The sequence below is a fragment of the Homo sapiens genome, chromosome 15, assembly GCF_000001405.40.
Source record: "Homo sapiens chromosome 15, GRCh38.p14 Primary Assembly".
In the NCBI taxonomy this organism is placed as follows: domain Eukaryota; kingdom Metazoa; phylum Chordata; class Mammalia; order Primates; family Hominidae; genus Homo; species Homo sapiens.
In genome coordinates, this window is record NC_000015.10 from 34,197,073 (window position 1) to 34,219,254 (window position 22,182).

General features: G+C 42.1%; 1 protein-coding gene across 9 annotated transcripts in view, besides 2 other annotated features; it reads right to left on the reverse strand.

Annotated features, from left to right (window-relative positions):
- The window catches only part of KATNBL1 (katanin regulatory subunit B1 like 1), a 69,423-nt gene extending 56,399 nt beyond the window's left edge, over positions 1-13,024 (reverse strand). For 8 of the 9 annotated variants that reach the window (XM_017022575.3, NM_024713.3, XM_047433041.1 and 5 more), the window contains exon 1: positions 12,879-13,024. The gene's annotated coding sequence lies outside the window, so the exon portion shown is untranslated. Of the gene's footprint in view, positions 1-1,187; positions 1,260-12,878 lie in introns of all 9 variants that reach the window. The other variant, XM_017022574.2, reaches the window with a different exon arrangement.
- Positions 12,569-12,968: a silencer, noted in NCBI's record as "silent region_6277". NCBI's record gives its function as "represses an Ori minimal core promoter by ATAC-STARR-seq in GM12878 lymphoblastoid cells {active_cell/tissue: GM12878}" and the evidence as "EXISTENCE:reporter gene assay evidence [ECO:0000049][PMID:35858748]".
- Positions 16,972-17,567: an enhancer, noted in NCBI's record as "OCT4-NANOG hESC enhancer chr15:34506245-34506840 (GRCh37/hg19 assembly coordinates)". NCBI's record gives its function as "activates a minimal SCP1, AML or CMV promoter by ChIP-STARR-seq in naive H9 embryonic stem cells {active_cell/tissue: H9 hESC(naive)}" and the evidence as "EXISTENCE:reporter gene assay evidence [ECO:0000049][PMID:30033119]".

A 22,182-nucleotide genomic window follows, 5' to 3' on the forward strand; every position in this document is an offset into this window, starting at 1 on the left:
TCCAACTTAGACTCCTGCTACTAGAGGTGGAGAACAACCACTATTTGCATCCATGATAACACAAGATTCTGTCTTGTCAACGTTTTTACCTTTGAAAATCTGACAAACGATGAACAATGTCATGTTTTAGTTTGCTTTTGAAAAATTTAATGTGAAGTTGTATTTTTCTTACGTTTAAACTGAAAAGACTAGGCAGTATGGTGTGACAGAGAAATATAAGTCCTAGAGTCAGACTACCTGGGTTTAAGTCCTGTTTTAACCATTTATTAGTTATGTACCATCTTAGGCAAGTTACCTAATCTCCTATTTTCAGAATAATGCTGTGAGGATTAAATAATCCACTTACCACAATGTCTGTAAATCACTCCGTAAATGTTAGCTATTATCAAGTTATACACAAACATCACCTATGAGGCAAGTTGCCTTTGGTGTAAGAAACATGATTCGTGGTATTAGCAAACTTTAATATCAGTTCCTAAATTTGTTGTATGTTTCTATATGTGCATATGTAGCACAGAGAAAAGAATGAAAGGATAAGGGTTATTTCTAAATAGTGGTATTACATTCCTTTTTTCTGTTTATTTTTCTATGAGATTAAGATTGAATCGTTGTCTTTGGCTTATTTTTATCAATTTTTACCAGTAAAAAATATTACCTTTTAAATAAAAGAATGAGGTTTATTTTATTTTTTTTGAGACGGAGTCTCGCTCTGTTGCCCAGGCTGGAGTGCAGTGGCATGATCTCGGCTTACTGCAACCTCTGCCTCCCAGGTTCAAGAGAGTCTCCTGCCTCAGCCTCCCTAGTAGCTGGGATTACAGGCACACGCCACCACACCCACCTAATTTTTTTATTTTTAGTAGAGACAGGGTTTCACCATGTTAGCCAGGCTGGTCTCAAACTCCTGACCTCAGGTAATCCATTCGCTGCCTCGGCCTCCCACACAAAGTGCTGGGATTATAAGTGTGAGCCACCGCACCCAGCCGAGTTTCTTTTCTTGACACAAAAAGAGGACGATACGCTAATAGGAACTGATAAATTAAAGCTTCTTAAGCCTTGCAACATACAAATTCTTATGTAAAGGAATATGAAATAATTGTAAAATTATGAAATTCAGTGACCTAAACCATTCTAAGGTAGAATTTTTGGTGGTATATACAGCTACATCATAGCATGTAATACTTTCCTACCTAACTCCTGTTCAGATCCTTAAACTTCCCAATCTTTCCTGCTGTGAAATTCTCACCATCATCCCATAGTTTCTAGTGGGAGAAATAGACAAACAAGCAATTATAATACAATATGTCAAGCACTGAGATATCCCTGAGGATTTATCTAAGAGCTTAGGGAAAACAAACAAAAACTGCTCTTGGAGTTAAACTATGAAACAGTAGATAGTGGTTTAAAGCAAAGATATTTAGAGTCATTTTACAGAAAGTAACAGCTTCTAGTCCAGCAGGACTTGCTGAGTAATCTCAATGAATGTTTCTCTACATTTTAATCAATGTGTAAAATTTATTTCCATAACTAATACAAAAGTGTTCCAAAAAAATACTTTGCGCTAACAGTGTATAGCAGGTGGAACTTATCACAAAGAACAACAACAAAAAACCCATAGTTTAATGTTAAACCAGATTCAAAGAAAGATCACACAGTTCCATAAATGTGACATTCCTTTTTTAGGTGTATTTGGTCAAGAACTGGGAAGAGGGACTGGCAAGGGAAGCAAAGACTTGTAGTCAAAAAGTAACAAGGTAAATGGAATGTTAAACTGTACTTTTTATAAAATATGAGAAACTATTATATAGGTACAGCAATGATACATTCTGTTGACCTTGCTAGTTTTGTTTTGCACTCGTTTAATCCCATTTAATCTGATTGAAGGTTACCATTTTGAAAGAATGTGGCAATTAAACGGGGCATGGATTCTGGGGAGGAGGTGAACACTGGAAAAAGAACAAAGAGAAATAGAGACAAATACAGGCAGTGCTACTCATGTACTGTCCAGCAAAAGGGTACCCCATCAGGTTACCTGTATTGTCTACTATACTTGTTAGGTTTATTCCTATTAAGAAAACAGATTTACCGGCCAGGCGCAGTGGCTCAGGCCTGTAATCCCAGCACTTTGGGAGGCTGACGTGGGCGGATCACGAGGTCAGGGGTTTGAGACCAGTCTGGCCAACATGGCAAAACCCCGTCTCTACTAAAAATACAAAAATTAGCCTGGTGTGGTGGCATGAGCCTCGAGTCCCAGCTACTCTGGAGGCTAAGGCAGGAGAATCTCTTGAACCCGGGAGGTGGAGGTTGCAATGAGCCTAGACTGTGCCACTGCACTCCAGCCTAGATGACAGGGCAAGACTCCCATCTCAGAAAATGACAGACTATAGATTTACCAAATTAACAGAGCCTGACATTATTAAATATTCAAATCATAAAACTAAATCCCGTCATCCTGATTCCACATGTGTCCCGAGTTGGCTCCTTCCAGTTAGTTCTTGGTCTTGCTGACCTCAAGAATGAAGTCGTGGACCTTCACGCTGTTACAGCTCTCAAAAATGGTGTGTCCAGAGTTTCTTCCCTCTGGTGGGTTCGTGGTCCAGAGTTTGTTCCTTCCGATGTGTCCGGAGTTTCTTCCTTCCGGTGGGTTCGTAGTCTGGCCGAATTCAAGAATGAAGCCGGAGGACCTTCGTGGCAAGTGTTCCAGCTCTTAAAGGTGATGCGGACCCAAACAGTGAGCAACAGCAAGATTTATTGTGAAGACGGAAAGAACAAAGTACGGAAAGAACAAAGTTTCCACGGTGTGGAAGATGACCCGAGCCGGTTGCCACTAGGGCTAGGTGGCCAGCTTTTATTCCCTTATTTGACCCCGCCCATGTGCTGCTGATTGGCCCATTTTACAGAGTGCTGATTGGTCCACTTTACAGAGTGCTGATTGGTCCACTTTACAGAGTGCTGGTCTATTTTTACAGAATCCTGATTGGTGCATTTACAATCCTCTAGCTAGACACAGAGCACTGATGGGTGCATTTACAATCCTCTGGCTAGACAGAAAAGTTCTCCAAGTCCCCACCCAACCCAGAAACCCAGCTGGCTTCACCTCTCACCTACTCGGAACAACTCAAAGTTGATATCTCAAGGGTTTAATATTTCCTGAATGATGATTCATCACACCACTTTCTCTCTCTCTCTTCTTTTTTTTTTGAGATGGAGTCTTCCTCTGTCTCCCAGGCTGGAGTGCAGTGGCGCCATCTCGGCTCACTGCAACCTTCGCCTCCCGCATTCAAGAGATTCTCGTGCCTCAGCCTCCTGAGTAGCTGGGATTACAGGTGCGTGCCACCACGCCCAGCTAATTGTTTTTTTTTTTTGTATTTTTAGTAGAGATGGGGTTTCACCATATTGGCCAGGCTGGTCTCGAACGCCTGACCTCTTGATCCACCTGCCTCAGCCTCCCAAAATGCTGGGATTACAGGCGTGAGCCACCACGCCCCGCCCACCACTTTCTCTTAATTCAGTTTTCCACAGTAAGCTGATTTGAGAAATAACGTCAAACTCGGGAAAGCAGATCAAGCATGAAAATAAAGACAGATGTCTGGAGATTCAGTGGGTACAATACTATATCATTTCAATCAATTTGGATCAAACTGAATTCCAACTCTCTTATGACTGAGATACCCTGAAATAAAAATTACAAAAGAGATGCCAAGTGGGAATTAGCTTTCCTACTACCTCTTCCTCAGTGTTTTTGTTTTGTTTTGTTTTGTTTTTTGAGACAGCGTCTTGCTCTGTCGCCAGGCTGGAGTGCAGTGGCGCCATCTCAGCTCACTGCAACCTCTGCCTCCCAGGTTCAAGCGATTCCCCTGCCTCAGCCTCCCAAGTAGCTGGGATTACAGGTGCACACCACCACACCTGGCTAATTTTTTGTATTTTAGTAAAGACAGGGTTTCACCATGTTGGCCAGAATGGTCTCGATCTCCTGACCTCGTGATCTGCCCTCCTCGGCCTCCCAAAGTGCTGGGATTACAGGCTTGAGCCACCACACCCGGCCTCTTCCTCAGTTTTAATCAAGTCCACTTAGATTACTACATTAGGGAACTGGGACTAATAATGGGAAAATAAAATTAAAGAACTAGGTAGATGTTTATCACCATCCATAGTTGTGGACCTACACAGGCTTTTTAAAAAACATAACTATGCCTTATACTGGAAAGTAGGGAGAAAAAAGTAAGGTAGCAAAACACTATGTTACCACTTAGGTTAAAAAGTGTGTGTCTGTGAGGGACTACTTGTATATTCACTAAATATCTTTTGAAGGATATGAGAGAAACTGGGGACAAAAGTCACTTCTAGTGAGAGGATATGTGTGGCTAGGGGGTGAAGGGAGAAGACTTTTCCCTTTTGGGCCTTTTGAATTTTGTATAATGTGCAAGTATGTTTTAACTTAATTATAATGTATTAGAGTATTATATACATATTTTCTTAAATGGCTATAAAACACCTGAATCTTTGGGAAGACTTAGGACTTCTTACGCCTAGAAGTAGATGGTTATGATTATTCTAGCATGTTTTGGTGAATTCGCCAAATTCCAATTTACTTTCCCTGTTAGAATAACCCAGTATTTTCTGGAAATATTCAACAGGGAGGAAAAAATACTTGATTCTGTTTTAATTGTCTTCTTGGACTCAGAAATGGAAAATATATATACAACTGGCCCTCTGTATCCGTGGGTTCAGCATCTGTGGATTCAATCAATTCCCAATCAAAACTATTTAGAAAAAAAATACATCTCTACTGAATATGTAGACTTATTTTTCTCATCACTATTCCCCCAATAATACAGTATAACAACTATTTACATAGCATTTACATTGTACTAGATATTACAAATAATTTAGAAATTATTTAAGGTGTATGGGAGGATGTGCAAAGGTTATGTGGAAATACTACACCACTTTATATCAGGGATTTGAGCATCCTCGGATTGTGATATCATTGGGAGGTCCTGGAACCAATCGCCCATAGATAATGAGGGATGAATGTATACATACATAAAACATTGTCACTTTAAGGATCATTTTTGACCCTTGTTTGCCTACTAAAGGTATTTCTGATACTTTCAAAACCAATAGACTCTCTACATATGAGAGGATATACCAATAAAGTAGTATTCAACTCTCAAAATGATGAGCTAATATAAATTAATTAAAAAACTCTATCTTCATTATTTGGACTAATGTCACCACCCTACGACACTTGTGCCTAATTTCTACAGTACCAGAAGTCAACAGGGTTAAGTATACCCTAAGCCTTGGAAAAAAGGGTAGATCATCCTTTAAGAATTAACAAAAATGATACTAGAGACATTCAAAATCTTTTTATAACAACGGTTCTTAAACCTTTATGTTCCAAAACTTGTGAGGATTATATTACATCCCCAACAGTTACAGTGGTTGGGCACCACCATATCTCCTAGGCTGAAATCAGAACGTATATTAAGGTTTGAAAATGCCTCCTCTCTCAGGGAACACTTTCTTCTCCAACAGAAGAATCACTTGCAGGCTCAAGAAAATATGACTCCTGTGTCCAAGACTTAACTATAACAAAAATTAACATATTAACTTTCATTTAAGAATAAAATCTCGGCCAGGCGCGGTGGTTCACGCCTGTAATCTCAGCACTTTGGGAGGCCTAGGTGGGCGGATTGCCTGAGGTCCGGAGTTCGAGACCAGCCTGGCTAATACGGTGAAAACCCATCTCTACTAAAAATACAAAAATTAGCTGGGCATGGTGGCAGGCACCTGTAATCCCAGCCACTGGGGAGGCTGAGGCAGAAGAATTGCTTGAGCCCGGAAGGCGGAGGTTGCAGTAAGCCAAGATCACGCCATTGCACTCCAGCCTGGGCGACAGCAAGACTCTGTCTCAAAAAAAATAAAAATAAATAAATAAAATCTCTCATCATACTGTTTCACCTAAACTCTGGATTCAAATCTCCAACTGCCTACTAGCCAGCTCCACATGGATATCCAATAGTCATCTATTCTTGAACTTAACATATTAAAAATAGAACCCTTAATATCCCCCCTCTCAAATCTGCTCCTCCCAACAGTCCCTAACTCAGTAAACGGAACCATCCTCCTTCCAATTTCTCAAGCCTGAAATAAAGGATTCATCCTTGATTTCTTTTTTCCTTAATAACCTACATCCAATTTGTTGACTTTGCCTTTATAATATATTCCCAAGCTGTCCGTTTCTTTCCATTTCCATTACCACCATTCTAGACCAAACCACCAACTCCTTTAGACTATATAATAGCTTCCTAAATGCTTCAGCCACACTGGCCTTCTGTCCTTCAACATTTCAAACTTATTTCCATTTTGTGGCTGAGCCATTCTTTCTGCTTAAAATATTCCTCCCACACACTCACCACCCAATCAAGAATAACCCCACCCTCACTTACAATCATTCTCTATAGCAGTACCCTGTATTTTTCCCCCACCACATTTATCACCATCTGGAAATTAGCTTATGCACTTATTGCCCATGACCTCTCACTAGACTGTGAGCTCCATGAGAGCAGGAACCATGTTCATTGTACCTAGAATAGATACACTTATTCTGGTATCTATTTTTTCTTTTTTTGAGATGGAGTCTTGCTCTGTCTCCAGGCTGGAGTGCAGTAGCACGATCTCAGCTCACTGCAACTAACTCAAGGACAGAAAACCAAACACTGCATGTTCTCACTCATAAGTGGGAGTTGAACAATGAGAACACATGGATACAGGGAGGGGAACATCACACACCGGGCCCTGTTGGGGGGTGGGGGGCTAGGGGAGGGATAGCATTAGGAGAAACACCTAATGTAGATGACGGGTTAATGGGTACAGCAAACCACCATGGTATGTGTATACCTATGTAACAAAGAGCACATTCTGCACACGTACCTCAGAACTTAATTAAAAAAAAAAAAAAAAAAGAGCCAGTGTGTGTGATTCACTCCCATTACCTTACCTCTAACCATCAACAGGTAACCAACAACAGGCCAGAAAGTTAAGACTCCCCTGTCCACATTGCTAAGCAAGGAAAACTAGGAGCACAGGCCCAGACAGCTCATGTGTAACATGAACTGAGGAAAAATAAACCTCTGAAATAAGCCACTGAGATTTGGGTGCTGTTTGTTACTACAAAATCACCTAGTCCATCCAGACTGATGAACTGTTCAAGCAATGCTGTGGGCACAGAATGATTCAGTCAGTCCCACTAAGTGGTTACTTGCAATGTAAACTGATGTCACTAGATATACATATTTAATTCTTTTCTTATTACAGTTGTCCCTCAGTATCTGAGTACGGCTGGTTCCAGGACCACCTCAGATACCAAAATTCGTGGATACTCATGTCCCCTAGTCAGCCTTCCGTATTCATGGCTTCCATACAGAGAACCCATGGATGCTGAGGGTAGACTGTATTACCTAGTTTCCAACAGGTCTGTCAACAAGGATCAAAAAAACTGTTTACATGGAGTTTTAAGGAATTCTTGTCTCTAATGCTATTTTTCACTAAATGGATAATTCACTCAAACAATGAATGCCACCCATACAGGCTTCTTGAAAAACCATCTGCCAGACTTTCTTCAACTGGAAACATACTTTGTAGGCAAGAATAACTGCTTTTTGTTTCCTTATTTTCTATACCAACTATTCAATAATTAAGTAATTATTGAGTACAGGCCACTGTAAGGGAAAAGAATAAAAAGGTAGTTGGCTAAAATGCAGAAGTCCCTGAATGCTAGGTCAGGAATTTGGACTTTATCTTGTAGACAAAATAGACTTACTGAGAAACTTTGTATACGAATTATATGTGAAAAAACTATTCTTGACGATTATTTATATGGCAGTTGTGGAACAGGAAGGCAAAGAGGGACAGTTTTTTTTTTTTTTTTTTCCTTTAAGATGGAGTCTCGCTCTGTTGCCAGGCCGGAGTGCAGTGGTGCAATATCGGCTCACTGCAACCTCCGCCTCCCGGGTTCAAGTGACTCCCCTGCCTCAGCCTCCTGAGTAGCTGGGGCTACAGGTGTGCACCACCACACCCAACTAATTTTTTGTATTTTAGTAAAGACGGGGTTTCACTGTGTTGACCAGGATGGTCTCGATCTCTCGACCTTGTGAACCGCCCACGTAGGCCTCCCAAAGTGCTGGGATTACAGGCATGAGCCACTGTGCCTGAAGAGTGCCAGTTTTTAAATGCTATGCCATGAATCCTCCATGGATGAAAGGCCAAATTTTAATCAATATATATAATTCATTTTTGCTACAACAGTAAATGTCCTGTTATTGATTATATTAAGTGTAGCACAGGGAATGGCTAGGACATAGGTTTTTGAAAGTAAGAGTAAAATGCATACTGAAATGTCAAGCTGGCACTTAAGTATGTGGTGATGGTCAAAATCTTACTCTGTGAGTAAGAGGGGCAGCCAGGGCAGTAATCGCTTAATAGTTCTGAAAGGCGATTAAGTGAACAATAGACACTTTGCTACTGCTGGGAGGTATTTTTACATTGTAGGAATGATGGGTTGTACTCTGGTTGGTTTGCATTTTGAATTCCTTCAAGATACTCAGAGCATCTGCGCAGTACTCCAACAAATTTTATCTTTCCCCAGCAACCCATTCCTTCATTTCTTCACTCGTTCAACAAATATTAAGTACATGTTACAGACTAATTACTATTCTACGCACTAGGGAAACATCAGTGGACCAAACAAAAATCCCTGCTGTACTGAAGCTTATATTCTACTGGCCTTTAAATTCCATCCTAAGATTTCTTCCTCAATCCTATCATATAAGTAGCTTTTAAAAATGCCTTTAGGAGAAATAATCTATGATTAATCACACTAAGATGTAAAAGACTATCCAGAGGCCTCTTCCCCACAGGTCTCCCTCCTCACCAAAGAACACCCCTCAATAAGTAACTATTTTATAGATTCTCGACCTTGGAGATAATTTCAGATGAGATTAAATCACTTGCCCAAAAACCCTTAGTTACTAACAGGCTTAGCGTTGCGACTTACAGTAATAGTGCCTTTCCCACTGTAACACCAAGCTGTGCATCTTAAGAGTATGCTAGTGGGCAGAGGAGATGCTAGAATGAGCATCTCATGACTCATACATAGGTGGTAGGTTTCTGGGTGACTTGCTCAAGGCAAAAAGAATTTCAGACAGTATATAAAACTGAAGGAGAGAGAGGTAGTTACAGGAAGCAAAAAAGGGAGTCCTTTCAAAATACCTTTTCTCTCATTTCTACCCTCATTATGCTCCAAGAACAAGAATGGTAAATATAACGCAGAAGTCTCCAAAGTTAAGGGGTATTAAGCTGGTAGTGAAAAAATACTTAGATGAGCAAGAAATAGTAAACACAGCATTTGAACCTGGCAAAGAAAAGTCAAATTACGCCGGGCATGGTGGCTCACGCCTGTAATCCCAGCACTTTGGGAGGCCGAGGTGGGCGGATCACCTGGGTCAGGAGTTCAAGACCAGCCTGGCCGACATGGCGAAACCCCGTCTCAACTAAAAATACAAAAATTACCCGGGCGTGGTGGTGGGTGCTTGTAATCCCAGCTACTCAGGAGGCTGAGGCAGGAGAATAGCTTGAACCCGGGAGGTGGAGGTTGTGGTGAGTCAAGATCTTGCCACTGTACTCCAGCCTGGGAGACAAGAGCAAGACTCCGTCTCAAAAAAAAAAAAAGAAAAGAAAAGTCAAATTACACCCTTCCAATTTAAAAAGTGTATGCTCCCAGTAAAAGTACCATTTGTATTAGGTTTAAGGTGTTTAATTAAAAAACATTATATTCCTAAATACATTTTCCAGAAAGCACCAAATTAACTAACATGGATCAACAAATATAATGATTGATAAAACATCAACATAATACTGACTAGTGTAATGTTATGATGCATCTTGTTGTTACTAGACAATACTTTTTTTTTTTTTTTTCCCTGAGACAGGGTCTTGCTTTGTCACCCAGGCTGGAGTGCAGTGATATGATCATGGCTCACTGCAGCCTCCAACTTCTGGACTCAAGGAATCCTCTCACCTCAGCCTCCCAAGCAGCTGTGACTACAGGCGCATGCCACTACACCTGCCTAATTTTATTTTATTTTATTTTTGAGATGGAGTCTCACTCTGTCGCCCAGGCTGGAAGGCAGTGGTGCGATCTCGGCTCACTGCAACCTCTGCCTCCTGGGTTCAACCGATTCTCCTGCCTCAGCCTCCCAAGTAGCTGGAACTACAGGCGTGTGACACCACGCCCAGCTAATTTTTTGTATTTTAAGTAGAGACAGGGTTTCATCGTGTTAGCCAGGATGGTCTCGATCTCCTGACCTTGTGATCCACCTGCCTCAGCCTCCCAAAGTGCTAGGATTACAGGCATGACCCACTGGCCCTAATTTTAAAATGTTTTGTAGAGATGGAGTCTTGGTATGTTGCCCAGGCTGGTCTCAAACTTCTGGGCTCAAGCTTTCCTCCTACCGTTGGCCTCCCAAAGTGCTGGGATTACAGGTGTGAGCCACACCAGTTCTGTGGCTGCACTGAAGTGCAGTGGCACAATCTCGGCTCACTGTAGCCTTGACCTCTTGGGCTTAAGCGATCTTCCCACCCCAGCCTCCCAAGTAGCTGGGACTACAGACACATGCCACCATGCCTGGCAAAATATTTTAAATTTTTTGTAGAGATATGGTCTCGCTATGTTGCCTAGGCTGCTCTCGAACTCCTGGCTTCCAGAGATCCTCCTGTCTTGGCCTCCCAAAGTGTTGGGATTACCAACCCTGCCTAGCCCCACCATCCACCCTTCTGTTCAGTGCCCTACATAAATCCTGCAATTGTTAGTTTTTCGCAGAAGCTTTACCCAGTTCAGTTCTGCATTCATCCACTGTACTAACGAAGAGTGTCATATATATTTTTTGTTGTTAATCTCATAACCCAAACTAGATTAATCTCCCTAAGGTTGGTTGTCCTGGCACATTTTTTATTTTATTTTTATTATTTTTTATTTCAATAGGTTTTTGGGGAACAAGTGGTGTTTGGTTACATGAATCAGTTCTTCAGGGGTGATTTCCGAGATTCTGGTGCACCCATTACCTGAGCAGTGAACACTGTATCCAATGTGTAGTCTTCTATCCTTCATCCCCCTCCCACTCTCTTTCTACCAAGTCCCCAAAGTCCATAGTGTCATTCTTGCGGCACATTTCTTTTGTATAGCCAATTGGGTCTACCACCCTGTTGGGCATACAGGCAATCGAAAGCTTTGTAACTGATGAATGACATTTAAAAGCTCTGCTATAGATAAGTATAAACTGCTGATTTCTTACTAAGTGATTTTGCTTTTGAAATTTATTCCTTGTCAAGGAGGTATTAGTTTAAGTATAACCATTTCAAGTACAGAATAACCACTCAATAAGTTTTAGGGATGAAAACATTTAACATGTAATTTTTTATTTTAAAGTAATACATAAGTTGCTAAGACTAACACTTTCAAAACTTTCAGGAAAGGATATAAAGGAATTGAAAACATAAATTATAACACACATAAAGCTTATGAACTCCATTTATCTTAAAATAGTCAATGGATTTTTTGCTCAGGCACAAACCTTAAGTATAATCATCAAGAGCAGAAAACTTGAATGAATGGTGTGTGAATGAATGTATGTGTACACAAAAGCACACTCAGGTCTCCGAAGTTTAAGTAAATGAAATGAAAGGGCTTTGTAAACTAAAAAGAGCCACAGATAAAGGAGGTAGTAGAGCAACAGAGTTAAAAGCGTGGAGCCAGCCTGCTCGGGTGTTAATTATATTAGCTGTGTAACCCTGTACGGTACAAAAGTTACAATACTAAAATTTCCTGTGCCTTAGTTTCTTCACTGTCAAAATGGGGACAACAGTATATATCCCAAAGTAAAGCTCTTAATACGCCCAGCGCATAGAAAGCACAAAATAAATATTGCCCATCATTATGATCACACTGGCTAATATTATTATTGGCTAATATTAGTTATTAGCCAAGTAAAAGCCTCAATGGATGACGTTTCAATTCAAGTCTGAAGCTGGCTATCCAAAGAAACTCCAAAAAACCCAGCAGATTTAAGCTATTAGGTGGACTAGTTTCTCATAATTCTCGCAAGTGCTGAACTGATGATTATTACACACCTAATTTCTCTTACAATTTTTTTTAAATCAGCAAAGAAACTGACATAGGTATCTCTGTTTTCAAGGAACTTTATAAGCCACAAGAAAACAAACCAACTCTTTGTTATCTCCATATTTAAGCAATATAAGAGCGTAGTAAAAGCCTAGATACTTTACAGAACAACTTTTCAGAAAATACAGTAAGGTTTTTAAAGTTGCAATCGACAATTCTTATGCAGTTATGTCAAGTTTTTGTCCTGCGAAACAAAAGCTCATCCGTCAGGAATCCGAGGACCCGTCGGAAAATAAGGAAATGCCTGGGCCGGGCCTAGGCGCTCTGCGGAAAACCTGTCCTCAAAAATGCTCGCCCCACACTCGTTCTGTCCTTCCCCTTCCCCAGGTGCAGCTGTCGACTCCACCCGAAGATAAATAAGTGACAACAGGTTCGGTCCACGCCTCTCCCGGCCCAGTCCCCTGGAGCCCCCCAGCGCCCGCTGCCCGACTCTCCCCGCAGGGACCGGCAGAGGGGCTCCGCCCCGGCCTTGCCGCCCCGCCCCGGGACCCGGCAGCGCTGCCGCGAGCCCGGCCGAGCCGAGGCCGCCGCGGGGCCTGCAGGTGGGCCCAGGGCGCGGCCAAGCCCGGCTGGAGTAGCCCTGCCAGGGCAGGGCAGCTGCGGGCGCGGGGCTCGCACCGGCTCGGCAGTCACTTACCGGCGCCTCATGGTACCGCGGCGCCTCAGCCCAGCCTCGGCGCTGACGACCAGCGCCCGGCAGCCTAGAGAGTCCCTCGGCTTCTGGGCCGAGTCCCACTCAGGGCCATTCAAACGCGGCCGCGCGCGCGGCCCGCCGGGATAGCTGGCGCTGTGGGCGGCTCGCGGGCTCCGCCCAACGTTGGCTCCGCCCCTCTGGGGGTCGCTAAGGGCCGGAGGGGAAAAGGACCTGTGGCCACAGTGCCCCCTGGTGGCTAGAGCTTCGCACGGTAGCCTTGCTATGGCGCGAGAAGTGATACTGCGATAGGAACTGAGGGTGGGTAAAGGTCAACGAATGACCGACCGTGCGCTAGGAACAACCTAGTGTGGGAGACCGTGCCTTAGTGGTGTACCAGGAGGTGCAAACAATTTCCTATAAAGTTATGGTTCCGGGAGAGATTTATTCATTCACACCTATTTAAATACACTAAGAGTCTGGGCACAGTGGCTCACACCTGTAATCCCAGCACTTTGGGAGGCCGAGGCAGGAGGTTCACCTAAGCCCAGGAATTCAAGACCAGCCTGGACGACATGGGGACAACTACCCCCCACCCCCCACCTCCGCCCCCGTCTCTATAAAAATAAAAATGATACTAATAAACGCTCTAAGGCATAGTTTCTAAAAGCATGGATTGTGGAACTATGTGACCTTGAGCAAGTCACATAAACTCCTAGGTGCTTTGCTTTCCCCTTCTGTAAAATGGGGACAATAACAATAGTATCTGTCTCTTAGTGTTGTGAGGATTAAATGAATTAATACATATAAAATGCTTAGAGGAGTGCCCGGCATATGGTAAGCCCTTCGTGTTTGTTAGTCATCATTTTTTTAGTTCCTATTATGTGCCAAACTTTGTGCTAGACTCTTAAGAACACAAGAAATGTACATGATGCAGAACCTGTCCTCAGGAAGCTGGTTCGGTCTTGTTGGGATGGGGAACACTAAATTAGATTATGAGGTTAGGGTTGGGTCTGTAGATGATGAACTTTTAATTACTGAGGGCAGTTCTCTTCATTAGAACCAGGCTGCTCACCTTCATAGATAAGCCACCGGTCAAGGTTAGCCAAGCTGTGACAGGAGCAAGTTTGTCTATGGTGGTTCTCTCGCCCCTTGCAGAAACCAACCAAGCAGTGCCTTTGGTGGAAATACTTCCTCACCACAAGACTACATCCCTTGGCTTGCTTTTTCAGGCACTCATTTCGGAACTCAAGGCTTGCCTAGGGAGCAGGCTGCTTAAGTTTGGTTTAACAATCTTTTTGAAGGCCCGCCATGTGCCAGGCAAATTGTGCCTGGTGCTGGAAATCGCCTGAAGCAGCTCTCAGTGGCTTGAAAAACAGGAAAAGAGATCATTCCAATACACTGCAGTGATAAAAGGTATCTCCTAAATGCCGTGGGAGTTCCGAGCAATGGGAGGCCTGTCAGATAAACTGATCAGAACTAAGATGTCATCAGGTTGTTATAACTTTATGTATTTTTCCTCCCTAGTAACAGAGTCCTTACTTAATCAAAAAAAAAAAAAAAGTCATGTTGAAAATTGAGGCAAGACCTTAGGGCAGTGGGAAAATAGTTTTAGGATATTTGGCATAAGCAACACCTTTGAGAGCTTCTCGATTGTACCAAGCATAAGCAAGGCACATACATGCCTATGTGTGGGGCCACATCTGTTAACAGGTGGTACTGTTGAGAGAGTCCAGCTAGGTGAGTAAAGGAAGCTGGAGCCCTAGGTTCCATGTATGTACAATAAAGAATATTTCCTGAATATGACTTCCACTAAGTAGATGTGTTGTTTTAAAGAAAATAAAAATTCAACACACATGGGTGAAGTCACTTTCTCTCAAGTCATTTCTTCATCATCATGAACAGGAATTTCTTGATGACCCACTATGCAAAAGGCACTGTGCTGGCCTCTCATCAGAAGAATAGGGTAAAAAGAGTGTACTATATGATCGTTATCCTCAAGGGAGGCTAAAGAATTAAGACAAGTAATGGAGTCCTGGAACTCAGGGAATCTGCTGTGTTAACACAGAAGAATCTCAGCTAATACAAGGCCTCCAGTTGCTGGAGGCCAGAGAAGAACCTTGATATTCTCATTTCTGGAGCTTGTTAGGGCACAGGATCTCAGGCAGGTTAATCTCCAGAGCCAAGTTATAAAGTTTGTATCAGTGATGGGCAGCCCAGGCCCTCACATCTCATAATTTCACATAAAAATAAGGAAAACTGCCTTTGCATTGCTACTTTTGGAATATATACAAATACTGTCATTTTAGTGATGAAAATGCAAGGCAACTTTCTTCATTGATACTTTTCCTATCAATAAAGTTGAATTTTTCCCCCTTGGGGCTCAATAAAATTTGAATTCTTACTAAAAAAAGGTACAGCCCATACATTAAAAAAATCCCTACATCAGTGTTTGTGTACAAAAAGGTGGTTTACTGATAGCCTTCGTGGTGGGCAGTCTCCAAGGGTGTCTACTCCTCTGGCCATTCCTTCATTCCTTCCTTCTGAGAGAACACGCAGCTAAGTTAGCCTTCCTGCCTCACATCCCCCTCTCTACGGGGTGCAGAATCATTCAAGGACACAGTGTAGAGTGACCCACATGAGAAAAGAGCTGCCATGCAGTCCTGTGTACACTGCTTGATGGCAAGCAGGGGAGGGATGGTGGAGCTGGGCCTGATGAACTGGAGAGGACAGACAGGATGTTCCTGACAGAGAGGTGGAAATGCAAAGTAAGTTCTAGTACTGCAGTCTATTCTGATTTGAGTGGAGGGAAAAGTGCTTGCAAGAGTCACAGGAGTGAAGACTGAAAAGGTACGTAAGGCACCTGATAGGTTGCGAAGACCTGGAATTATCAAGCAAAGTGTTTGAGGTGCAAGGAGACAGCAAAGACAATTGAGCAGGGGAATGACTAAGTCAGTTCTTTAGAAGGATTGATCTGTTTGGGAGGCCAAGGTGAAAGGATCGCTTAAGGCCAGGAGTTTGAGACCAGGCTGGGCAACATTTCAACACCTCAACTCTACAAAAAATTTAAAAAATAGTCGGGCATGGTGGTGCATACCTGTAGTCCTAGCTACTCGGGAGGCTGAGGTGGGAGGATCACTTGAGCCAAAGAGCTCAAGATTATAGTAAGCTATGATTATGGCACTGTAGTCCAGCAAGAGAGCAAGACCCTGTCTCTTAAAAACAAACCAACCAAAAAAAAAGCAAGAAAAAGAAGAAGAAGAGTTGATTTGTTACCAGGATGCTGGATGGCCAGGGGTAGGGAGGAATGACTGATAGCAATAACATTAGGTATAAAAGTGTAGTTCCGTCTAGGGTCCTAGAAGCCATATCATTTACTGCATTGTATGTCATTCTCATTGAGACCAATGCCGATTCTGACAGAGAACAATGCCTGAAGGGACCTAAAAGACAGCAACAGCTCACCCATTCCACACTGCTCAGCCTCAGCACCTTTGGAAAATTCTAGGCAGTTGACTTTAGCAGTCAAAGTGAGAAGTCAATCCCTTTTTTCTGCTCCTCCCTTCCCTACCTTCCTTTGCAGGCTGTGGAAGGAAGTAATGGCAGAAGCAGTAAGCAAAAAAAACAAAAACAAAAACAAACCCAAAAAACAAAACAAAACCCCTGGTAGTGTTTTTTGCGGGGTGAAGGGTGGGTGGTAGGGAGGTGTTGAGTGATGGGGGATCCTATTTTTAAGATAGCTTGTTTCTGCTACATCTACAGCCCTCTATTGTAAATCTACAACTGAGATCAGGTGACCCAAAAACATTTATGACTATGATAATATTTGGTATTTATAGACTTTCAAATCCGAATCTCAAGAAACCATCTCTCTCCTCCTGCAAGTACATTTCCTGCAATTAGACTATACTGTCACCAGGTGGAACGTGGTGGGGGCAGCATGTTAGACTAGCCTTGGAGCAAGGCTCATCTCTATTTAAAACCTAGATTGCTGCCTTTGGGCCGTTTCTACACCGGTTTTTACCTTAATGTGCAATGGGGATAACACTCTCCTCTCAGGGGCTGTTGGGAAGTGGGATAACCTATATAAAACATATACAACAATGCCTAGAGCAGTGATTGTGTCTCTCTCTGAAAAACTGAGTTTAGTGATTTTTCCAAGATAGAGAAGAATACAATATGGTTGACTGCTGCCTTGGAAAAGGGAAGTCCTGGAATTAGACTACCTGGGGGTCAGGGTGCAGGAGAGGGTGAAGTGTCAATGTTGGGGGTGGGGTCAGGAGGCACGGAACAGACTCACTGTGATGCTGATGGCCTGGTAACCAGAACAGGGTACCTGAAAAGTCCTATCATATGCAAAACAAATCCAATTATGTATGCAGTTGCTGGTGGAGGTGGTGGGGGGAGGGGAGATGTTCAGTACAACTGGGACCCCATAACAGGTGAAGTACAGAGGAGTTCCTGGCGAGCAGGCAAGCAGGAAATAAAATGCGCTAGCAGTTAGCAGGGCAACAATCATCAGAAGCAGAAAGTCCTTGGGAAGAGGACTTAAAAGAGCAAAGCAGGTCCCTAGCCTCAAGAGACAGGAGCAGTAGAAAGATTACTAAGACACTTCTTGGAGCCAGACACAAAGGCAGAACCGCTCTTGCAGTAACACAATTGAGCCTGAACCTAAACTGGCTTGAGTTACTTCCCCAACTTAGCTCTGTGTTCTTCAGGACATCAGTTCTAAGAGATGTTGATAGGTTCAAAAAAGAAGAGAAAAAGAAGAAAGTGGTTTCCTTGGCCACAGAAGTTTGGTAACTGCTGAAGTAAACAAATATTTCTTTACTGTAGCACTTCTCGGTCTTTAAAAACCTAACATTTGTTGTCAATTTTTAAAGAAAGATACATGCAGTGTTTCCTAAACTTATCTGAACGCTTAATCCTTTAAATGGGAGAACACAAATACTATTAAGAATTATTCTTATCTAAGAAGAGTGTCAGGACTAGTCCAGGTCCTGGAGAATAGGGTATGGCTGCAGCAGTAGGCTGGGAGGAGAGGACTGTGGAAGCTGGATTAGGCATGGTGCCTCATGATCAGGGCTGGATGAAAGCAACAGGCCTGAAAATCTGGCAGAGCTATAAGAAACATTTTAAAAAACCGAAATAAAAATGTACTCATTCTTTTTCCTGTGCCTTTTCTAAAAAGTAAAAATACCGCTCTTCATGAAATAGCATCTTATAAAACAGTATACAGTATTAAATAAGTCTAAATATTAATTTTTAAAGTCTGAAAACATCTAAATCAAAATGCTCATGAAAGGTTTTTTCTTTGGCATGATAGGATTTGTTGGTTATCTTTTTTGCCTATTTGTATTTCTCATTTATATAATAAATGTGTTGCTTTTAAATTAAAGTTACTTTTTAAAACCATTTTATTAAAGAAACCAATCATAGCAATTAGGAAATTAAGTAAAACTTTTTGTGGGCCGAGCGTGGTGGCTCACGCCTGTAATCCCAGCACTTTGGGAGGCCGAGGCGGGCGGATCACGAGGTCAGGAGATCAAGACCATCCTGGCTAACACGGTGAAACCCCGTCTCTACTGAAAATACAAAAAATTAGCTGGGCGTGGTGGTGGACGCCTGTAGTCCCAGCTACTTGGGAGGCTGAGGCAGGAGAATGGCGTGAACCCGGGAGGCGGAGGTTGCAGTGAGCTCAGATCGTGCCGCTGCACTGCAGCCTGGGCGACAGAGCGAGACTCTGTCTCAGGAAAAAAACAAAAAAAACGACTTTTCATGTAAATGTTTTAAAGTTTAGGATTTAATTCTGTAACTATGGCAATATTATTTTACCTGTTATTATTTTATTGTTATCATTTTCTCCTTAAGCTAACCCTTAATACATCTGAATGGACTCTCTTTTAGAAAGAGACGTATTTGTTTCTTAGGGTCGCTGTGACAAAGTACCACAAACTGAATAGCTTAAACCAACAGAAGTATATTATCTCACAGTTCCAGAGGCTAGAAGTCCAAACAGCCTCCGGAACAGGACCATGCGCCCTCTGAAGGTCTAGGGAATAATCCTTTGCCTCCTCTTCCTAGCTTCCTCGGCTTGTAGCTGCATCATTCCAATCTGTCTCCATTCATCACATGGCCTTCTTCCCTATGTGTCTGTGTGACCTCTTCATATAAGGATGCTATAGTCATCAGATTTAGGTCTCACTGTAATCCAGTATGACCTCATCTTAACCAATGTATCAGCCAAGACCTTCATTGCAAAGATCTGATGTGAGACTCTGGGTGGATACGAATTTGGGGGTGGGGAGGAAATTATTCAATTCACTGAAAGACTCTAGCAATGATTTAATCAATAAACCCTTAGAACTGTAAATCAGTACATTTTAGAGAGCCTATTATTTGAACCCATCAACATTTTAACTGTATAAAACTGTGGGAAGAGATCCTAATTTTATCACTGTCCTACAGAAATGTGTTGACAAGTGCCCAACGATGTTCACAGCAACATTTTTTTGTAATAGCGAAAAATGGGAACAAGCTGAATGTCTATCAATTTGGGACTAATTAAATTATCTCACATCTACATTCTGCAGCCTTGAAAAAGAATAAGGTAGATCTGCATGATAGACATGGAAGATATCCAAAATAGATTAAGTAAAAAAAGCAAGTCAATAGACAGTGTTTAGTACATTCCTATTTACATAATGAGCAAATTAAACAACTCTACATTTATGTACATGTTTTAAGGAATAGCTTTATTTATCTTTCAAACATTAAAAGATACCTATTGTTCTCCAACTCTTCTGAATTTCATTTCATCCTTGTATTATTCTGCTTGGGTTGCCATAACAAAATACTGGGTGCTTTAAACCAGTGGTCCTGAACATTTTTGGCACCAAGGACCAATTTTATGGAAGACAATTTTTCCACAAATGTGAGCTGGGCAGGGAGGGTGGTTTCAGGATGAAACTGTTTCATCTCAGATCATCAGGCATTAAGACATAAGGAATACACAACCTAGATCCCTCACATGCACAGTTCATAATAGGGTTTGAGCTCCTAAAGAATCTAATGCCCCCTCCTTGATCTCATGGGAGGCAGAGCTCAGGCAGTAATGCTCCCTGGCCTTGGCAGAGAGCTCTTGGGTGTCTTATAAGGGCAATGCTATCATGAGACATCCACCCTCATTACCTCATTTAACTCTAATTACTTCCCAAAGGCTCTATCTCTAAATACCATCCCATAGAGGATTAGGATCATCCCATATGATTTCTGGGAGGACACAAACAATCAGTCCATAACAATCTTCCTTTAAAAGACTCAGGTTATGGCCAGGTGTGGTGGCTCACACCTGTAATCCCAGCACTTTGGGAGGCCGAGGTGGGTGGATCACCTGAGGTCAGGAGTTCAAGACCAGCCTGGCTAACATGGTGAAACCTTGTCTCTACTAAAAATACAAAAAATTAGCCAGGCATGTGGCAATGCCTGTAATCCCAGCTACTCAGGAGGCTGAGGCAGGAGAATGGCTTGAACCTGGGAGGCGGAGGTTGCAGTGAGTCAAGATGGTGCCATTGCACTCCAGCCTGGGCAACAAGAGCAAAACTCCATCTCAGAAAGACGAAACAAAACAAACTCAGGTTATAAAACAATGCTTTATATCGAAACTGATTGAAGCCTTTTAAAATTAGCACATAGGAAAAAATGCCCCAAAGGACCTTTATTGGTGGTTTAGTTACTTTGTGTACAGACAGTATAGCCCACTTTCAGGATAGCTGAAATTAATCACCAAAAAGAATCCAGAGTAACTGATCTTGGAGAGACCTGTCACGCCACTAGTAATGTATCATTATGACTCATGCTATGGTTGTCATTCTTATCCATTAATGAGATCTGTGGGAATGGCAACCCTTCCAACTTCCTAACCAAGTGCTGGAGGGAAGCTGCTATAATGAGAACTTGTTAAAATGTGAATTGGACAATAGGCCTCCTGAAATGAAGGAAAGGTAACTGCTAAGGAAGAGTGGTATTACCAACATCTTCTCCCAGCACCATACTACTGGTTCATGTCGCTGCTGACAAGGGCATTTCATGACACCGCAGAGCCACGAAATAGAAATTGAAAAAGAATGTAATCTGTGTAGAAATGATGTGGTACCTCAACAGTAACTAGCAAGGTAAGATCTTATACAAAGTGTTTTTTCAGTAAAGGGGTTCGAAATGCAAACAGTCAAAATGGATAAAAAAAAAAGTTTCTTCTTTAGACCGCACAACTGATGCAGAGTAAATTGTGTCATGAATGAAATAGTTTTAAGTTGGTCTTTTTTAGAAGATAATGATAGTAGAGTTAAACTAAGACAAATAACTGGGATTTGCAATGGAAGACGAGTTTTTTTGAAGCTGCAAAGAATCTTAGGAGCTTTTAGAGCACACTAGGCAAACTGGTTGTCCCAGGAAGGATGACAAAATAGAATTATTATATAGACATTGTGAAATGGTATAGGCCAAAAACTTAAGACATATCTATAAAAGCCCCATCACCCCCCTCCCCCGCTCAGAGGGATCCATTCTTGCAAACCTGTTTGTTTGAATAGAAAATTTTCTTATTAAGTTTCAATCCAAATACAACTGTTCAGAGAAGAATGGCATGAAATAGCTTCTTTGGGTCTTAGGAAGAGGTAAAGGATGAAACACAAAAACACAACAACTGTGCAGGTGGCACAAATTATACAAAGTCAAACAAGGTAACTCATATGAGTTATAGAATTGTGGTTTGCCTTTTTATACTTTCTTTAATTAAAATCATATTTGCTCAAAGGCACAAAGTAAGGAAAATTTTAATATTTATTTTATTATTTTTATTTATTTTTTTTGAGACTCTCGCTCTGTCGCCCAGGCTGGAGTGCGGTGGCACGATCTCGGCTCACTGCAAGCTCCGCCTCCTGGGTTCACGCCATTCTCCTGCCTCAGCCTCCCGAGTAGCTGGGGCTACAGGCACCTGCCACGACGCTTGGCTAATTTTTTTTTTTTTTTTTTTTTAGTAGAGATGGGGTTTCACCGTATTAGCCAGGATGGTCTCGATCTCGTGACCTCATGATTCGCCCACCTTGGCCTCCCAAAGTGCTGGGATTACAGGTGTAAGCCACCGCACCCGGCAATACTTATTTTATGATTTCAATATTCCATCATTTTCCAATTCAAGTTTAGTCCAGTGGGATGCATACAAGAAGTTTCTTAAAATCGGATTGTCTGCTTAGATTATGTTGTGTAAATTCAAACCTTGTTATTTTAGAGCAACAAAATGCTTTAAATC